Source organism: Homo sapiens, chromosome 2 (genome assembly GCF_000001405.40).
Source record: "Homo sapiens chromosome 2, GRCh38.p14 Primary Assembly".
In the NCBI taxonomy this organism is placed as follows: domain Eukaryota; kingdom Metazoa; phylum Chordata; class Mammalia; order Primates; family Hominidae; genus Homo; species Homo sapiens.
In genome coordinates, this window is record NC_000002.12 from 214,106,325 (window position 1) to 214,120,440 (window position 14,116).

The following is a 14,116-nucleotide window of genomic DNA, read 5'->3' on the forward strand; positions in this document are numbered from 1 at the left end:
GAATTGGGATGATTTGAAGTTCTTAGCATAATTGGTTTAAAGTTATAACAGTGTCAAGATACTGAGCCATAATAACAAGGATGGTTGAGATTCTGAGAGAGTATCAAAGTGTTTCAATTTATTTTTGTGAAATTTAAATTTATGTGGGGAAATTTTGCACTCTGTGAACAAAGATTTGTAGCATGAATTGATTCTTTAAATTGATATTTGGAAGTTAACTTGCTGAGTACAATGACGATAATGAGGACCAAGTAGAGATTAGTTTAGTTATAAAGCCTTTCCAACTTTGCTTGGTTCAGAGATACTCCATGAATGGCCAATAACAGTGAGGGGCATCATGATGATCTACCTTTGGTAGCTCATTTTGCAATCTCTTCTGTAATCTCTCCCAGCCTTCAAAGATTTAAGGTTAAATAAATACAAGGTAGTGAATGAGAGTAGATGAAGACTTTTGAGTGAATCTACTCTTCTGACTGACTTCTTTCCAGCCACACTGGCTTCCTTGTTGTTCCAGAAATGTGTGAGGCAAACATCTACTTGGAGACATTTGCTCTAGTTTTTCTTCCTACCTGGAACACTTTTCCTCCAGAAAAACTCCCTTCCTATACTTTGGCTATACTCCCTTACTATACTTTCATTGGCTAACTCCCTTACTATACTTTCATTCTTGGCTAACTCCCTTACTATACTTTCATTCTTGGCTAACTCCCTTACTATACTTTCATTCTTTATTCAAACTTTATCTTCTGGGTGAAGCCAAACTGGATAACTCTACTTGATAATGTGATTTCCCTTAGTTCCCAAATCCCAAAATTCCTACTATTACTAACCCTGCCTGACAATTTCTTCTCTTCAGACTTATTATCTTCTAGTACATTTTATGCCTTTATCACAAAATGCCCATCTCCTCCACTAGAATATAAGGTCCGTGAGAATAAGGTTCTTTGTCTATTTGTTGACATATCCTAAGCACCTAGAATTGTGCCGACAAATATTAATTACTCAAAAATATTTGTCGAATGAACAAATGGTTGAATGAAATCTGAATTTCCAAGCACATAGCAAGACTCTCCAAGCAATAGTCCACATATGACTTTCCCTTGTTCTACAGAATTTGGGTTATTTCCCTACAAGAGTCAAGAATGCCCGTTGAACACTGGTGTTCAAAATGAAAGGCCCCACATTTAGATATTTAGATCCCTATTATAATGTGTTATAGGTCCATCTTTCCCGGAAACATTTAAACTGAAGCTGGGATGTTTTTGTAGTTAATTTTAATTTTAGCTATTATTTGGATAAGTTAAATTGAATGAATAGATGTGAAGTTTGGTTCTCACAAAACAAATGCTTATTCTGTATTTAAAAATGCCACTGTATATATTTTATAAATTTTTATACAGGTAATAATGTTAATGCTGAACTGTGAAAATTCAGGAGCTAAAATGTGATTCTATCATTTAAAAAGAAAAAGAGAGACCCCACTGCCTACCCCCAGCAGCAGTAGATATGCTGTGCTGAAAATAACAGCTTTCTAATAAGGGAGTTCTTAATAGTCTTTGGCCTCAGGGCTTGAAAGCTATGCTAATTGAGAAATGCAGCCACTTAGTGAGAGTTTACTACCAGCTCAGTGGTGTAAAAGCAACAACAGTAGAATTTCAGTGTAGATACCAGTACTATGGTATGCTCCCCGCTCTAGGTCTGTACTATTCTGAATAGTAGTTGATAGCAAAAGCTAGAATTTTCTATGGTGAGAATGTATTAATTCTGGGAGGAGGGGCTAAAAATTACTTTAAAACTTAAAAGCATCTTTGAATTCCTTTTTACGTTCCAAAAGAAATTTATTTGACTCTGTTTCTGCTTTGTCTTCCTAGGGTATATGTGAGCAGTCACTTTATGGTCACATGCATTCTATCAATGATGCCATTTTTGATCCCAGGGTAAGTTCAGTTCTCCCAGTAAACTGTTTTTAATGCTTCATATATACAAATTCATTTTTATAAAACAAATTTCCAAGCTAAAATGGTAAGTTAATGAGGTGAGAAGAACAACTTTAGGAATTAGTTGTAAACAATAGGAAAAGTCTATAGGTATATAGGGTTGCAGAATTTTAAAATTCACACACACACACACACACACACACACACACACACACACACCCCCACACACACCCCAAGTCGTAGCAGGAGTGACAAGGAATTCTACTGTAGTCAACTTTACTTAAACACATTTTTAAGAGCCTTTTGTCCAATTTGGGCTTCAAAAAAATAGGTGGGCTATAGACTGCATAAAATTTTAATGAAAAATCATTAAAATAACTATAATTGCTCTGTAATTTTTCTGTAAGAAAACCTGGAGAAGAAAAAGCAGTTAAAGAAAAAAGTTTTCTCCAATTTAGAACAGAACAGCTTTGATTTGACAGCTTTTTAATTACTCATGGAAAAGTTTCAAATATGTCCTTCTTCATAAAAACTGATGACAAAACAAAAATATTTTATCTGCCACTTGAGGTATTCATTCAGGTGTAAGGATGATTTCACAAACAATGAAAATTGTTGGAGAGTCCTTTGAGTTTTCTGTGGTTTGAATGTATCCCTCCAAGTTTATGTGTCGCAAACTTAATCCCCAATGCAAGAGTGTTTGGAGGTGGAGCCTTATAGGAGATGTTTAGGTCATGACACTGGCGCCCTCCCTCCTGAATGGGTTAATGTCTTTGAAGGAAGTTGAAGCTGCAAGTTCAGTCTTTTTGCTCTCTTGCTCTTTTTCCTCCCTCCTTCTGTTATGGGATGACACAGCACAAAGGCCTTCATGAAATGATGGTGCCATGCTCTGGGACTTCCCAGCCTCCAGAACTGTGAGAAATAAATTTATTTTCTTTAAAGTTATCCAGTTTGTGGTTTTCTGTAATAGCAACAGAAAATGGATTAAGACAGTTGCCACGTGAATTAAGGATGTCTTTAAAAGGGTTCAGATAGTAATCAAAGAAGGATGATTTAAGTCTGTTCTCAGATGAAAGAGATTTGACTACATAGATGACCTCTCAGGTTCATTTAAACTCTATGATTTAATTATATCTAACATTTTGGTTGTCTCAAAGTTCCCAGTAGAGTGAGAATCTTAATTCCAAATTCCACTTCTTTTCCAATTAGCTATAAAAGAAATCTGATGGATTACTTACATCTAACATCACAATGATAGCATAGTCAAAATTCTGTTACCATCCTGCTAGTATCATTCTTTTAGAAAGAGGAAAAATGCTCACTAAAAATTATATCTACTAAGGGAATGTTGATTGCTCCAATTGAAATTGTGCTTGTGTCATTGTCAGGCCTGGGAATTTTAATGATGGGCTCAACCAAAATTACATTTTAATAGATTGGTCTTTGTAAGAAATATTCTATCTAATTTTCTGTAGTGAGCCAATTAGTTGGAAAGTATTATAGATTAGTTCTAGATACCAAGGAATATTTTATTTCCAGCAGGGTATGGAAAAATTTAAGCACTATGGACCCATTATGAAATAGAATATAGTTTTATGCTGAAAGTCCATTAAGTGGCGTATAGCTTCACATGCCCTACAAAAATTAAATGGGAGCTGAAATGAATAATATTTTGTAAATCAGGCATTTTATTTTGGCAAGCAATATAATAACTGCAAAAGACAGCATTTTACATTCTAAATATTAAACTTAATAAATATGGAAATAAGCAAATTAGATTTATTGAATTAGCAATCAAGAGAGACATACATTAATTTCCCATATTTCAAAGGGCAAGATAACAGATATGAGGTTTAGGTGTCCAATATCAAAGTAGCTAATTTTTTTTATTATTATACTTTAAGGTCTAGGGTACATGTGCACAACATGCAGGTTTGTTACATAGGTATACATGTGCCATGTTGGTTTCCTGCATCCATCAACTCATCATTTACATTAGGTACTTCTCCTAATGCTATCCCTCCCCCAGCCCCCACCCCTGACAGGCCCCAGTGTGTGATGTTCCCCACCCTATGTCCAAGTGTTCTCATTGTTCAATCCCACCTATGAGTGAGAACATGCGGTGTTTGGTTTTCTGTCCATGTGATAGTTTGCTGAGAATGATGGTTTCCAGCTTCACCCATGTCCCTGCAAAGGACATGAGCTCATCCTTTTTTATGGCTGCATAGTATTCCATGTTGTATATGTGCCACATTTTCTTAATCCAGTCTATGATTGATGGACATTTGCGTTGGTTCCAAGTTTTTGCTATTGTGAATAGTGCTGCAATAAACATATGTGTGCATGCATCTTTAGAGTAGCATGATTTATAATCCTTTAGGTATATACCCAGTAATGGGATGGCTGGGTCAAATGTTATTTCTAGTTCTAGATCCTTGAGGAATCGCCACATTGTCTTCCAAAATGGTTGAACTAATTTACACTCTGACCAACAGTGTAAAAGCATTCCTATTTCTCCACATCCTCTCCAGCATCTGTTGTTTCCTGTTTAATGATTGCCATTCTAACTGGTGTGAGATGGTATCTCATTGTGGTTTTGATTTGCATTTCTCTGATGGCCAGTGATGATGAGTATTTTTTCATGTGTCTGTTGGCTGCATAAGTATCTTCTTTTGAGAAGTGTCTGTTCATGTCCTTTGCCCACTTTTTGATGGGATTTTTTTTTTCCTAGTAAATTTGTTTGAGTTCTTTATAGATTCTGGATATTAGCCCTTTGTCAGATGGGTAGATTGCAAAAATTTTCTCCCATCCTGTAGGTTGCCTGTTCACTCTGATGGTAGTTTCTTTTGCTGTGCAGAAGCTCTTTAGTTTAATTAGATCCCATTTGTCTATTCTGGCTTTTGTTGCCGTTGCTTTTAGTGTTTTAGTCGTGAAGTTCTTGCCCATACCTATGTCCTGAATGGTATTCCCTAGGTTTTCCTCTAGGGTTTTTATGGTTTTAGGTCTAACATTGAAGTCTTTATTCCATCTTGAATTAATTTTTGTATAAGGTGTGAGGAAAGGATCCAGTTTCAGCTTTCTACATATGGCTAGCCAGTTTTCCCAGCACCACTTATTAAATAGGGACTCCTTTCCCCATTTCTTGTTTTTGTCAGATTTGTCAAAGATCAGATAGTTGTAGATGTGTGTTGTTATTTCTGAGGGCTCTGTTCTGTTCCATTGGTCTATATCTCTGTTTTGATACTAGTACCATGCTCTGTTGGTTACTGTAGCCTTGTAGTATAGTTTGAAGTCAGGTAGCGTGATGCCTCCAGCTTTGTTCTTTTTGCTTAGCACTGTCTTGGCAATGCAGGCTCTTTTTTGGTTCCTGAACTTTAAAGTAGTTTTTTTCCAATTCTTTGAAGAAAGTCATTGGTAGCTTGATGGGGACGGCATTGAATCCATAAATTACCTTGGGCAGTATGGTCATTTTCACAATATTCTTCCTATCCGTGACCATGGAATATTCTTCCATTTGTTTGTGTCCTCTTTTATTTTGTTGAGCAGTGGTTTGTAGTTCTCTTTGAAGAGGTCCTTCATATCCCTTGTGAGTTGGATTCCTAGGTATTTTATCTTTTTATAACTATTGTGAATGGGAGCTCATTCATGATTTGGTTTCCTGTTTGTCTGTTATTGGTGTATAGGAATGTTTGTGATTTTTGCACATTGATTTTGTATCCTGAGACTTTGCTGAAGTTGCTTATCAGCTTAAGGAGATTTTGGGCTGAGGCGATGGGGTTTTCTAAATATACAATCATGTCATCTGCAAACAGGGACAATTCAGGAGCAGGTTGTTCAGTTTCCATGTAGTTGTGTGGTTTTGAGTGAGTTTCTTAATCCTGAGTTCTAGTTTGATTGCACTGTGGTCTGAGAGACAGTTTGTTGTGATTTCTGTTCTTTTACATTTGCTGAGGAGTGCTTTACTTCCAATTATGTGGTCCATTTTAGAATAAGTGCGATGTGGTGCTGAGAGGAATGTATATTCTGTTGATTTGGGGTGGAGAGTTCTGTAGATGCCTATTAGGTCTGCTTGGTGCAGAGCTGAGTTCAAGTCCTGGATATCCTTGTTAACCTTCTGTCTCATTGATCTGTCTAATATTGACAGTGGGGTGTTAAAGTCTCCCATTATTATTGTGTGGGAGTCTAAGTCTTTTTGTGGGTCTCAAAGGACTTGCTTTATGAATTTGGGTGCTCCTGTAATGGGTGCATATATATTTAGGATAGTTAGCTCTTCTTGTTTAATTGATCCCTTTACCGTTATGTAATGGCTTCTTTGTCTCTTTTGATCTTTGTTGGTTTAAAGTCTGTTTTATCAAGAGACTAGGATTGCAACCCCTGCTTTTTTTTTTTTTTTTTGGCTTTCCATTTTCTTGGTAGATCTTCCTCCATCCCTTTATTTTGAGCCTATGTGTGTCTCTGCAGGTGAGATGGGTCTCCTGAATACAGCACACTGATGGCTCTTGATTCTTTATCGAACTTGCCAGTCTGTCTCTTTTAATTGGGGCATATGGCCCATTTACATTTAAGGTTAATATTGCTATGTGTGAATTTGATCCTGTCTTTATGATGTTAGCTGGTTATTTTGCCCATTAATTGATGCAGTTTCTTCATATCATCGATGGTCTTTACAATTTGGCATGTTTTTACAGTGGCTGGTACTGGTTGTTCCTTTCTATGTTTAGTGCTTCTTTCTGGAGCTCTTGTAAGGCAGGCCCGGGTGGTGACAAAATCTCTCAGCATTTGCTTGTCTGTAAAGGATTTTATTTCTCCTTCATTTATGAAGCTTTGTTTGGCTGGATATGAAATTCTGGTTTGCAAATTCTTAAAGGATGTTGAATATTGTCCCCCACTCTCTTCTGGCTTGTAAGGTTTCTATTGAGAGATCCTCTGTTAGTCTGATGGGCTTCCCTTTGTGGGTTACCTGACCTTTCTCTCTGGCTGCCCTTAACATTTTTTCCTTCATTTCAACCTTGATGAATCTGACAATTATGTGTCTTGGGGTTGCTCTTCTCGAGGAGTGTCTTTGTGGTGTTCTCTGTATTTACTGAATTTGAATGTTGTTGAATGCCTTGCTAGGTTGGGGAAGTTCTCCTGGATAATGTCCTGAAGAAAGTTTTCCAACTTGGTTCCATTTTCCCCGTCACTTTCAGATACACCAATCAAATGTAGATTTGGTCTTTTCACATAGTCCCATATTGTTTGGAGACTTTGTTCGTTTCTTTTTAACTCTTTTTTCTCTAAACTTCTCTTCTTGCTTTATTTCACTAATTTTATCTTCAATCACTGATACCCTTTCTTCCACTTGATCAAATTGTCTACTGAAGCTTGTGCATGCATCATGTAGTTCTTGTGCCATGGTTTTCAGCTCCATCAAGTCATTTAAGGTATTCTCTACACTGTTTATTCTAGTTAGCCATTCATCTAATCTTTTTTCAAGGTTTTTAGCTTCCTTGTGATGGGTTTGAACATCCTCCTTTAGCTCGGAGAAGTTTGTTATTACCGACCTTCTGAAGCCTACTTCTGCCAACTTGTCAAAGTCTTTCTGCATCCAGCTTTGTTCCATTGCTGGTGAGGAGCTGTGATCCTTTGGAGGAGAAGAGGTGCTCTGGTTTATAGAATTTTCAGCTTTTCTGCTCTGTTTTCTCCCCATCTTTGTGGTTTTATCTACCTTTGGACTTTGATGTCGGTGACCTGCAGATGGGGTTTTGGTGTAGATGTCCTTTTTCTTGATGTTGATGCTATTCCTTTCTGTTTGTTATTTTTCCTTCTGACAGTCAGGTCCCTCAGCTGTAGGTCTGTTGGAGTTTGCTGGAGGTCCACTCCAGACCCTGTTTGCCTGTGTATCACCAGCAGAGGCTGCAGAACAGCAAATATTGCTGCCTGATCCTTCCTCTGGAAGCTTTGTCCTAGAGGGGCACCCGCCTGTATGAGGTGTCTGTCAGCCCCTACCGGGAGGTGTCTCCCAGTTAGGCTACACAGGGGTCAGGGACCCACTTGAGGAGGCAGGCTGTCCATTCTCAGAGCTCAAATGCTGTGCTGGGACAACGCACTGCTCTCTTCAGAGCTGTCAGACAGGGACGTTTAAGTCTGCAGAAGTTGTCTGCTGCCTTTTGTTCAGCTATGCCTTGCCCACAGAGGTTGAGTCTATAGAGGCAGTAGGCCTTGCTTTTTGGGCACTTTGTTTACCTACTCAAGCCTCAGCAATGGTGGATGCCCCTCCCCCTGCCAGGCTGAAGCCTCACAGTTGGATCTCAGACTGCTGTACTAGCAGTGAGCAAGGCTCCATGAGCGTGGGACCCCCTGCCCCGAGCCAGGCACAGGAGAGAATCTCCTTGTCTGCCGGTTGCTAAGACCTTCGGAAAAGCATAGTATTTGGGCGGGAGTGTCCCGTTTTTCCAGGTACAGTCTGTCACGGCTTCCCTTGGCTAGGAAAGGGAAATCCCCCAAACCCTTGTGCTTCCCGGGTGAGGCAACACCTCTACCTGCTTCGGGTGGCCCTCTGTGGGCTGCACCCACTGTCCAACCAGTCCCAGTGAGATGAACCAGGTACCTCAGTTGGAAATGCAGAAATCACCCGTCTTCTGCATTGATCATGCTGGGAGTTGCAGACTGGTGCTGTTCCTATTTGGCCATCTTGGAACAGAACTCGCTAATATGTTTTTATTTGCACACTTTGTTCATACCAAAAGGACTATTACAATATAGCTCCAAATCAGTATCCCACAGCCTCATTAAAATTTTCCATTAATTGATCTTTTCTTTGCTGCAAATATTTATTAACTACTAATATTTTTAAAAAATAATGTCTTGTTATGATGACTGACATTTTTTAAGGAAATTTTTGGTCACTTATATTAATTGTTTTAACAATTATGTTTTATGTCACATACCTGCTAAGCAATGTCAGGAGGTTGAGAAGCAGCTGTGACTGCAGAGTGCAGGGACTCCCACAGGTCTCTTGAGGACATGGCATTGAGACACAGTTCATATTCAAACAAACTATTAAAGTTGTATTTAAAAAATCCATATGTGGTACATATATAGAAGGCAAAAATTTTAGTTATTTGGTATTAGCCTTGCTCATTACTTGGTGCCTTTAGGGATAGACATTCATGTTGCGTTACCATTTAAAGTTGCATTTAGCTATTTACATAAACATAGTTTGGGGAAAATTCTACAATTTCAGATTTGTAAGTAGGAATCACACATGTAAAACTCAATGTTATCAAGCTAGCAATCTAGATTCACAGAAACAAGGGTAATGTCAGTAAGATGGTGGAATAAAAAGTAACCCTCAACTGGGCACAGTGGCTCATGCCTGTAATCCCAAAACTTTGGGAGACTGAGGCAGGCAGATCATGAGGTCAGGAGATCGAGACCATCCTGGCCAATATGGTGAAACCCTGTCTCTACTAAAATACAAAAAAATTAGCCAGGTGTGGTCTTGTGTGCCGGTAGTCCCAGCTACTCAGGAGGCTGAGGCAGGGGAATTGCTCAAACCCGGGAGACAGAGATTGCAGCGAGCTGAGATTGCACAACTGCACTCCAGCCTGGCGACAGAGTGAGACTCCATCTCAAAAAAAAAAAAAAAAAAAAAGTAACCCTCCTATCTCCGCCCACAAGAATCCTGCACCCATCCACAGACAAAAGTCTATCAGCAGGAGTTTCAGGATTCAGGTAGGAGGCTGCAGAGCCCCAGTGGAGCCCAAGACTTAGGAGGATTATTTTGAGAGTACAGACCAGCACCCACGTAGCTGATCTGCTGATTATGCTCCCAGGTTCAAGCCTAGGAATAACCTCATTTCCCAAAGGGCTTGGCTAGATCCTTGTTTGGCCTTAAACCTGTGCCAAAACCATTTGCCCAGGCATCCAAGAGGAACCACACAGACTACTGCCTCAGTGAAGAGACTTGTCTGCTCAATGACAGTGGTCTTCACACTGAAACTGAAAGTTGTTCTTTGGCTTGGCACTAGCCTCCCTCAGCTGAGGTTCCACATGAGGACTGCTTGTACAAGGATACAGAAGGAGACTTGCCCATATTCTCTCAACCTGGGAGTCTAAGCCTCCATAATGAGTTCACTAACCTCCATTTCACAGCAGATTTTGAGGTGCACCAGACTCAGTTCCAGCTCCCCTTACTACTTTTGGGGAACTATGCTGTCTATGCAAAGACCTGCTGGGAATTGCACACTCACGTGGGCCAGTGAGACAGGTTCGTCAGCTGCTGTCACACAGCAGATCCTGAGAGGGCCCAGACCACTTGTGCAGGACCTGCCGGGAAGCACACCTGTATGGACACAGTTCCACTGCGCAGAGACCTGCTGGGAAGCACACCTGTGTGGGCCACTGGAAAATATTTCAGTCTTAGGTTCCTGCTCAGCTTTCATCAACAGCCTAGGGACCCTCCTTAAGTCTTCCCCAGGTCCATCTAGGACAGAGAGCCATGTCATCCTTGGAACCTTTGTGAGATTCACAGCAAACCTGGGCTGAGAGGTTCCTCTAGTGCTAAGACAACTTCAGTGATCACAGGCTCAGGGAACACAATTAGTATTTTTAGATCTCTGGAAGACGCTCTGAAAAATGATAGGCACAGTAAAGCCAGACTGTGAAGACTGGAACAAATACCCAGTCTTTCAAAATGCAGACATTGTCACATGTCCACTATTATCAGTAATATTCAGGGAAATGTTACCTTACCAAAGAGAGAAAATAAGGCACCAGACACTGATTTTAAAGTGACAGGGATGTGTCATCTCTCAGACAAAGAATTCAAAAATAGCTGTTTTAAGGATGCTCCTCAAACTTCAAAAAATATAGAGAAACAATTGAGAAATTTATCAGGGAAATTTTATAGAGAGATTGAAATTTTAAAAAATCAAACAGAAATCCTGGAGCTGAAAAATATAATGAATGAAATAAAAGACACAGTGGAGAGCATTAACAGCAGAATTGATCAAACAGAAGAAAGAATTAGTAAGCTTGGTGACAGGCTATTTGAAAATACAGTCAGAAGGGAAAAAGAGAAAAGAATAAAAATAAAGAAGTTACAGGATCCTACAACAGTTGCCTGTCAAAGAAAAGCTCAGAAGTAGGCTTCACTGCTGAATTCTACCAAACATGTAAAAAAAGAGCTAATACCAATGTTTCTCAAACTATTCCAAAAACTTGAAGAGGATAGAGTTCTTACTAACTCATCCTATGAGAACAGCACTACCCTGATACCAAAACCAGACAAGGACCCAACAACAACAACAACCAACACTATTGGCCACCATTCCTGATGAACATAGATGCAAAAACTCTCAAGAAAACACTAGCAAACCAAATCCAACAGCACATCGAAAAGATCATTCAGCATCATCAAATGAGATTTATCCCAGGGATGCAAGGATGATTCAACATAGGCAATTCAATAAATGTTATATATCACATTAACAGAATGAAAGACAAAAATTATATGATCATCTCATTAGCCATGGGAAAAGCATTCAATAAAATTCACAATCCCTTTATAATAAAAACCCTGAACAATTAGGTATAGAAGCAACATACCACAACACAATAAAGGCCATATATGAGAAACCTACAAACATCATACTAAATAGGGAAAAGCTGAAAGTTTTTCCTCTAAAATCTGGACTAAGACAAATATGCCTATCTTTACTATTTCTGTTCAACATAGCACTAGAAGTCCTAGCCAGAGCAATTAGGCAGCAAAAAGAAATAACGCGCATCCAAATTGGAAAGGAGGAAGACAAATTGTCTCTTTTTACAGATGATATGATCTTATATAGAGAAAACTCTACAGACCCCACTGAAAAACTGTTAGAACTAATAAATTCAGTAAAGATGGAGTACACAAAATCAATAAAAAATAGTAACATTTCTATATGCAATAGCAAACTCTCCAAAAAAGATATGACAAAGAAGCCCATTTACAATAACTACAAAAAATCTAGAAATAAGTTTAAACAAAAACATGAAATGTCTCTGCAATGAAATCTACAAAATAATGATGACAGGAAATAGAAGAGGACACTAATAAATGGAAAGATACCCTGTGATCATGGACTGGAAGAATTAATATTGTTAAAATATCTGGATCAGTCTCTTCTCACACTGCTATAAAGGACTGCCTGAGACTGAATAATTTATAAAGGAAAGAGGTTTAATTGACTCACAGTTCCACATCGTTGGGGAGGCCTCAGGAAACTTAAAATCATGGCAGAAGGGGAATCAAACACATCCTTCTTCACATGGTGGCGGCAGAAGTGCTGAGCAAAAGGGGGAAAAGCCCCTTGTAAAACCTTCAGATCTCTTGAGAACTCACACACTATCACAAGAATAGCATGAGGGTAACCGCCCCCATGATTAAATTACTTCCCACCCATCCCTCCTAGACATATGGCGATTATGGGAACTACAATTCAAGAGGAAATTGAGAGGGGATACAGCCAAACCATATCAATGTCCATACTGCCCAAAGTGATCTACAAATTCAGTGCAATCTCTATCAAAATACTAATGACATTCTCTATAAAAATTGAAGTAAAATTTCAAATCTTTTTGGAACCAAAAGGCTGCAAATAGCCAAAGCAATCCTGAGAATAAAGAAAAAAACTGGAGGTATCATACTACCTGACATTAAAATATACTACAATGCTAAGAAATTCAAATATTCTTACCATAAAGAAATGACAAGTGTTTGAGGTGATAGATATGATAATTATCCTGATTTGAGCATTACTCAATGTACCCATGTATCAAAATATCACATTGTATCCATAAATATGTAGTTACATGTCAATGAAAAACAAAATACATCTTTAAAAAAGATTCACAGAAACAGATAGGCAATAAACAATATTTATATATGGCCCTGAAAAACTATTGAATTGAATTTTATTTGTTAAATTGAATTTTAATTCTCTTATGGTATTAGAGCTCGGATGTCTTAATTTCTCCTTGATTTCTCCATTGGAAGTAGATATTTATTTTAAACCTCCTTTTAAAGTAATCTGTCATGAGACATTTTAAGGAACTATAAAAGCTACTTATTAAGTCATTTTTATAAAGCAAAGCCAAAACCAAAAAAGGAAGATGACAGTAATTTCCAGAAAATTATTAATAGCCACAGAAAATTCAATCTAAAGGAAAAAATAAAAACAAAAACTGTAAATAATACGTGGCAGGAAAATGAGCAGGGAGCCTCACCTGACTTCAAATTTCCAGGAAGTTGACCTAAGTCTTACTAGGATGGACATTCCATAGGGCCTTCTAGAAGCTCTTGCTGGACTTTTCCATTTTTCCTTATTTTTATTTTGCATTCTAGTCTCATCTTGAAATTAGTCATGTAAATCTTTGATATTTATGAGATATACCAATATGTTTTATTATTTCTTTGCCTATAACTAATTTCTTTCTTTTCTCTCCTTCCTGCAGGGTTTCATTTTATCTTGCTAACGATAGTCTCTCATAGTTCTTTCAGGGAAAGTGTGTGGGTAGTAAACTTTTTTTGGTCTTTGTATATCTGGAAATGTCATTATTTTATTTTCATTCTGTTATTTCCTCTGTCACTATTGTTGCTGATGAGAATCAACTATAAATCTAATAGTTGATCCTTTGTAGATAAGGTTGGATCTTTCTCATACATTTTAATATCTTGCATATTTAGCTTTTAATTTTTCTATGCTGTGTCTACATGTAGATTTGCTTCTTTTTTGTTTTTCTCTGGACTTGATGTGTCTTCTCAATATGAGCACTTTTGTCTTTCTACAATGCTGGAAATTTTTCAGCCATTATGTTATTAAATATTGTGTTTTGTCAATTCTCTCTAGTATCTCTTTTAGGAATTCCTTTTATATCTCTGTTGAATCTTCTCATTCACTTCATGTTTCTTTTTATATTTCCTGTGCTTTACTACTTTGTGTGGCATCCCAATTAATTTCTTCCCAACTGTCTTATAAATCAATCTTTCTTTAGCTGAATCCTGTTTAATTTTATTCTTTCTACTGAGTTTTTCTATTTCAATTACTACATTTCTTATAGAAATGTAGTATTTTAGATTCTTTTCAACTTTGTCCATCCTTGTTTCATTATGTCTAGTTTGATTTTAGGCATATATTAATTTCTTTTTTTAC

At 37.9% G+C, this 14,116-nt stretch overlaps 1 protein-coding gene across 15 annotated transcripts in view; it reads left to right on the forward strand.

Moving 5' to 3' along the window:
• SPAG16 (sperm associated antigen 16) overlaps positions 1 to 14,116 on the forward strand; it is a 1,126,038-nt gene that overhangs the window by 821,861 nt on the left and 290,061 nt on the right. For all 15 annotated transcript variants that reach the window (NR_047659.2, NR_047660.2, XM_011511814.2 and 12 more), the window contains one exon: positions 1,872 to 1,937. Coding sequence is in view for 13 of the 15 variants with exons in the window: in XM_011511814.2 (XP_011510116.1) it covers positions 1,872 to 1,937 (66 nt within the window). In the remaining 2 variants the exon portion in view is untranslated. The remainder of the gene's footprint in view (positions 1 to 1,871; positions 1,938 to 14,116) is intronic.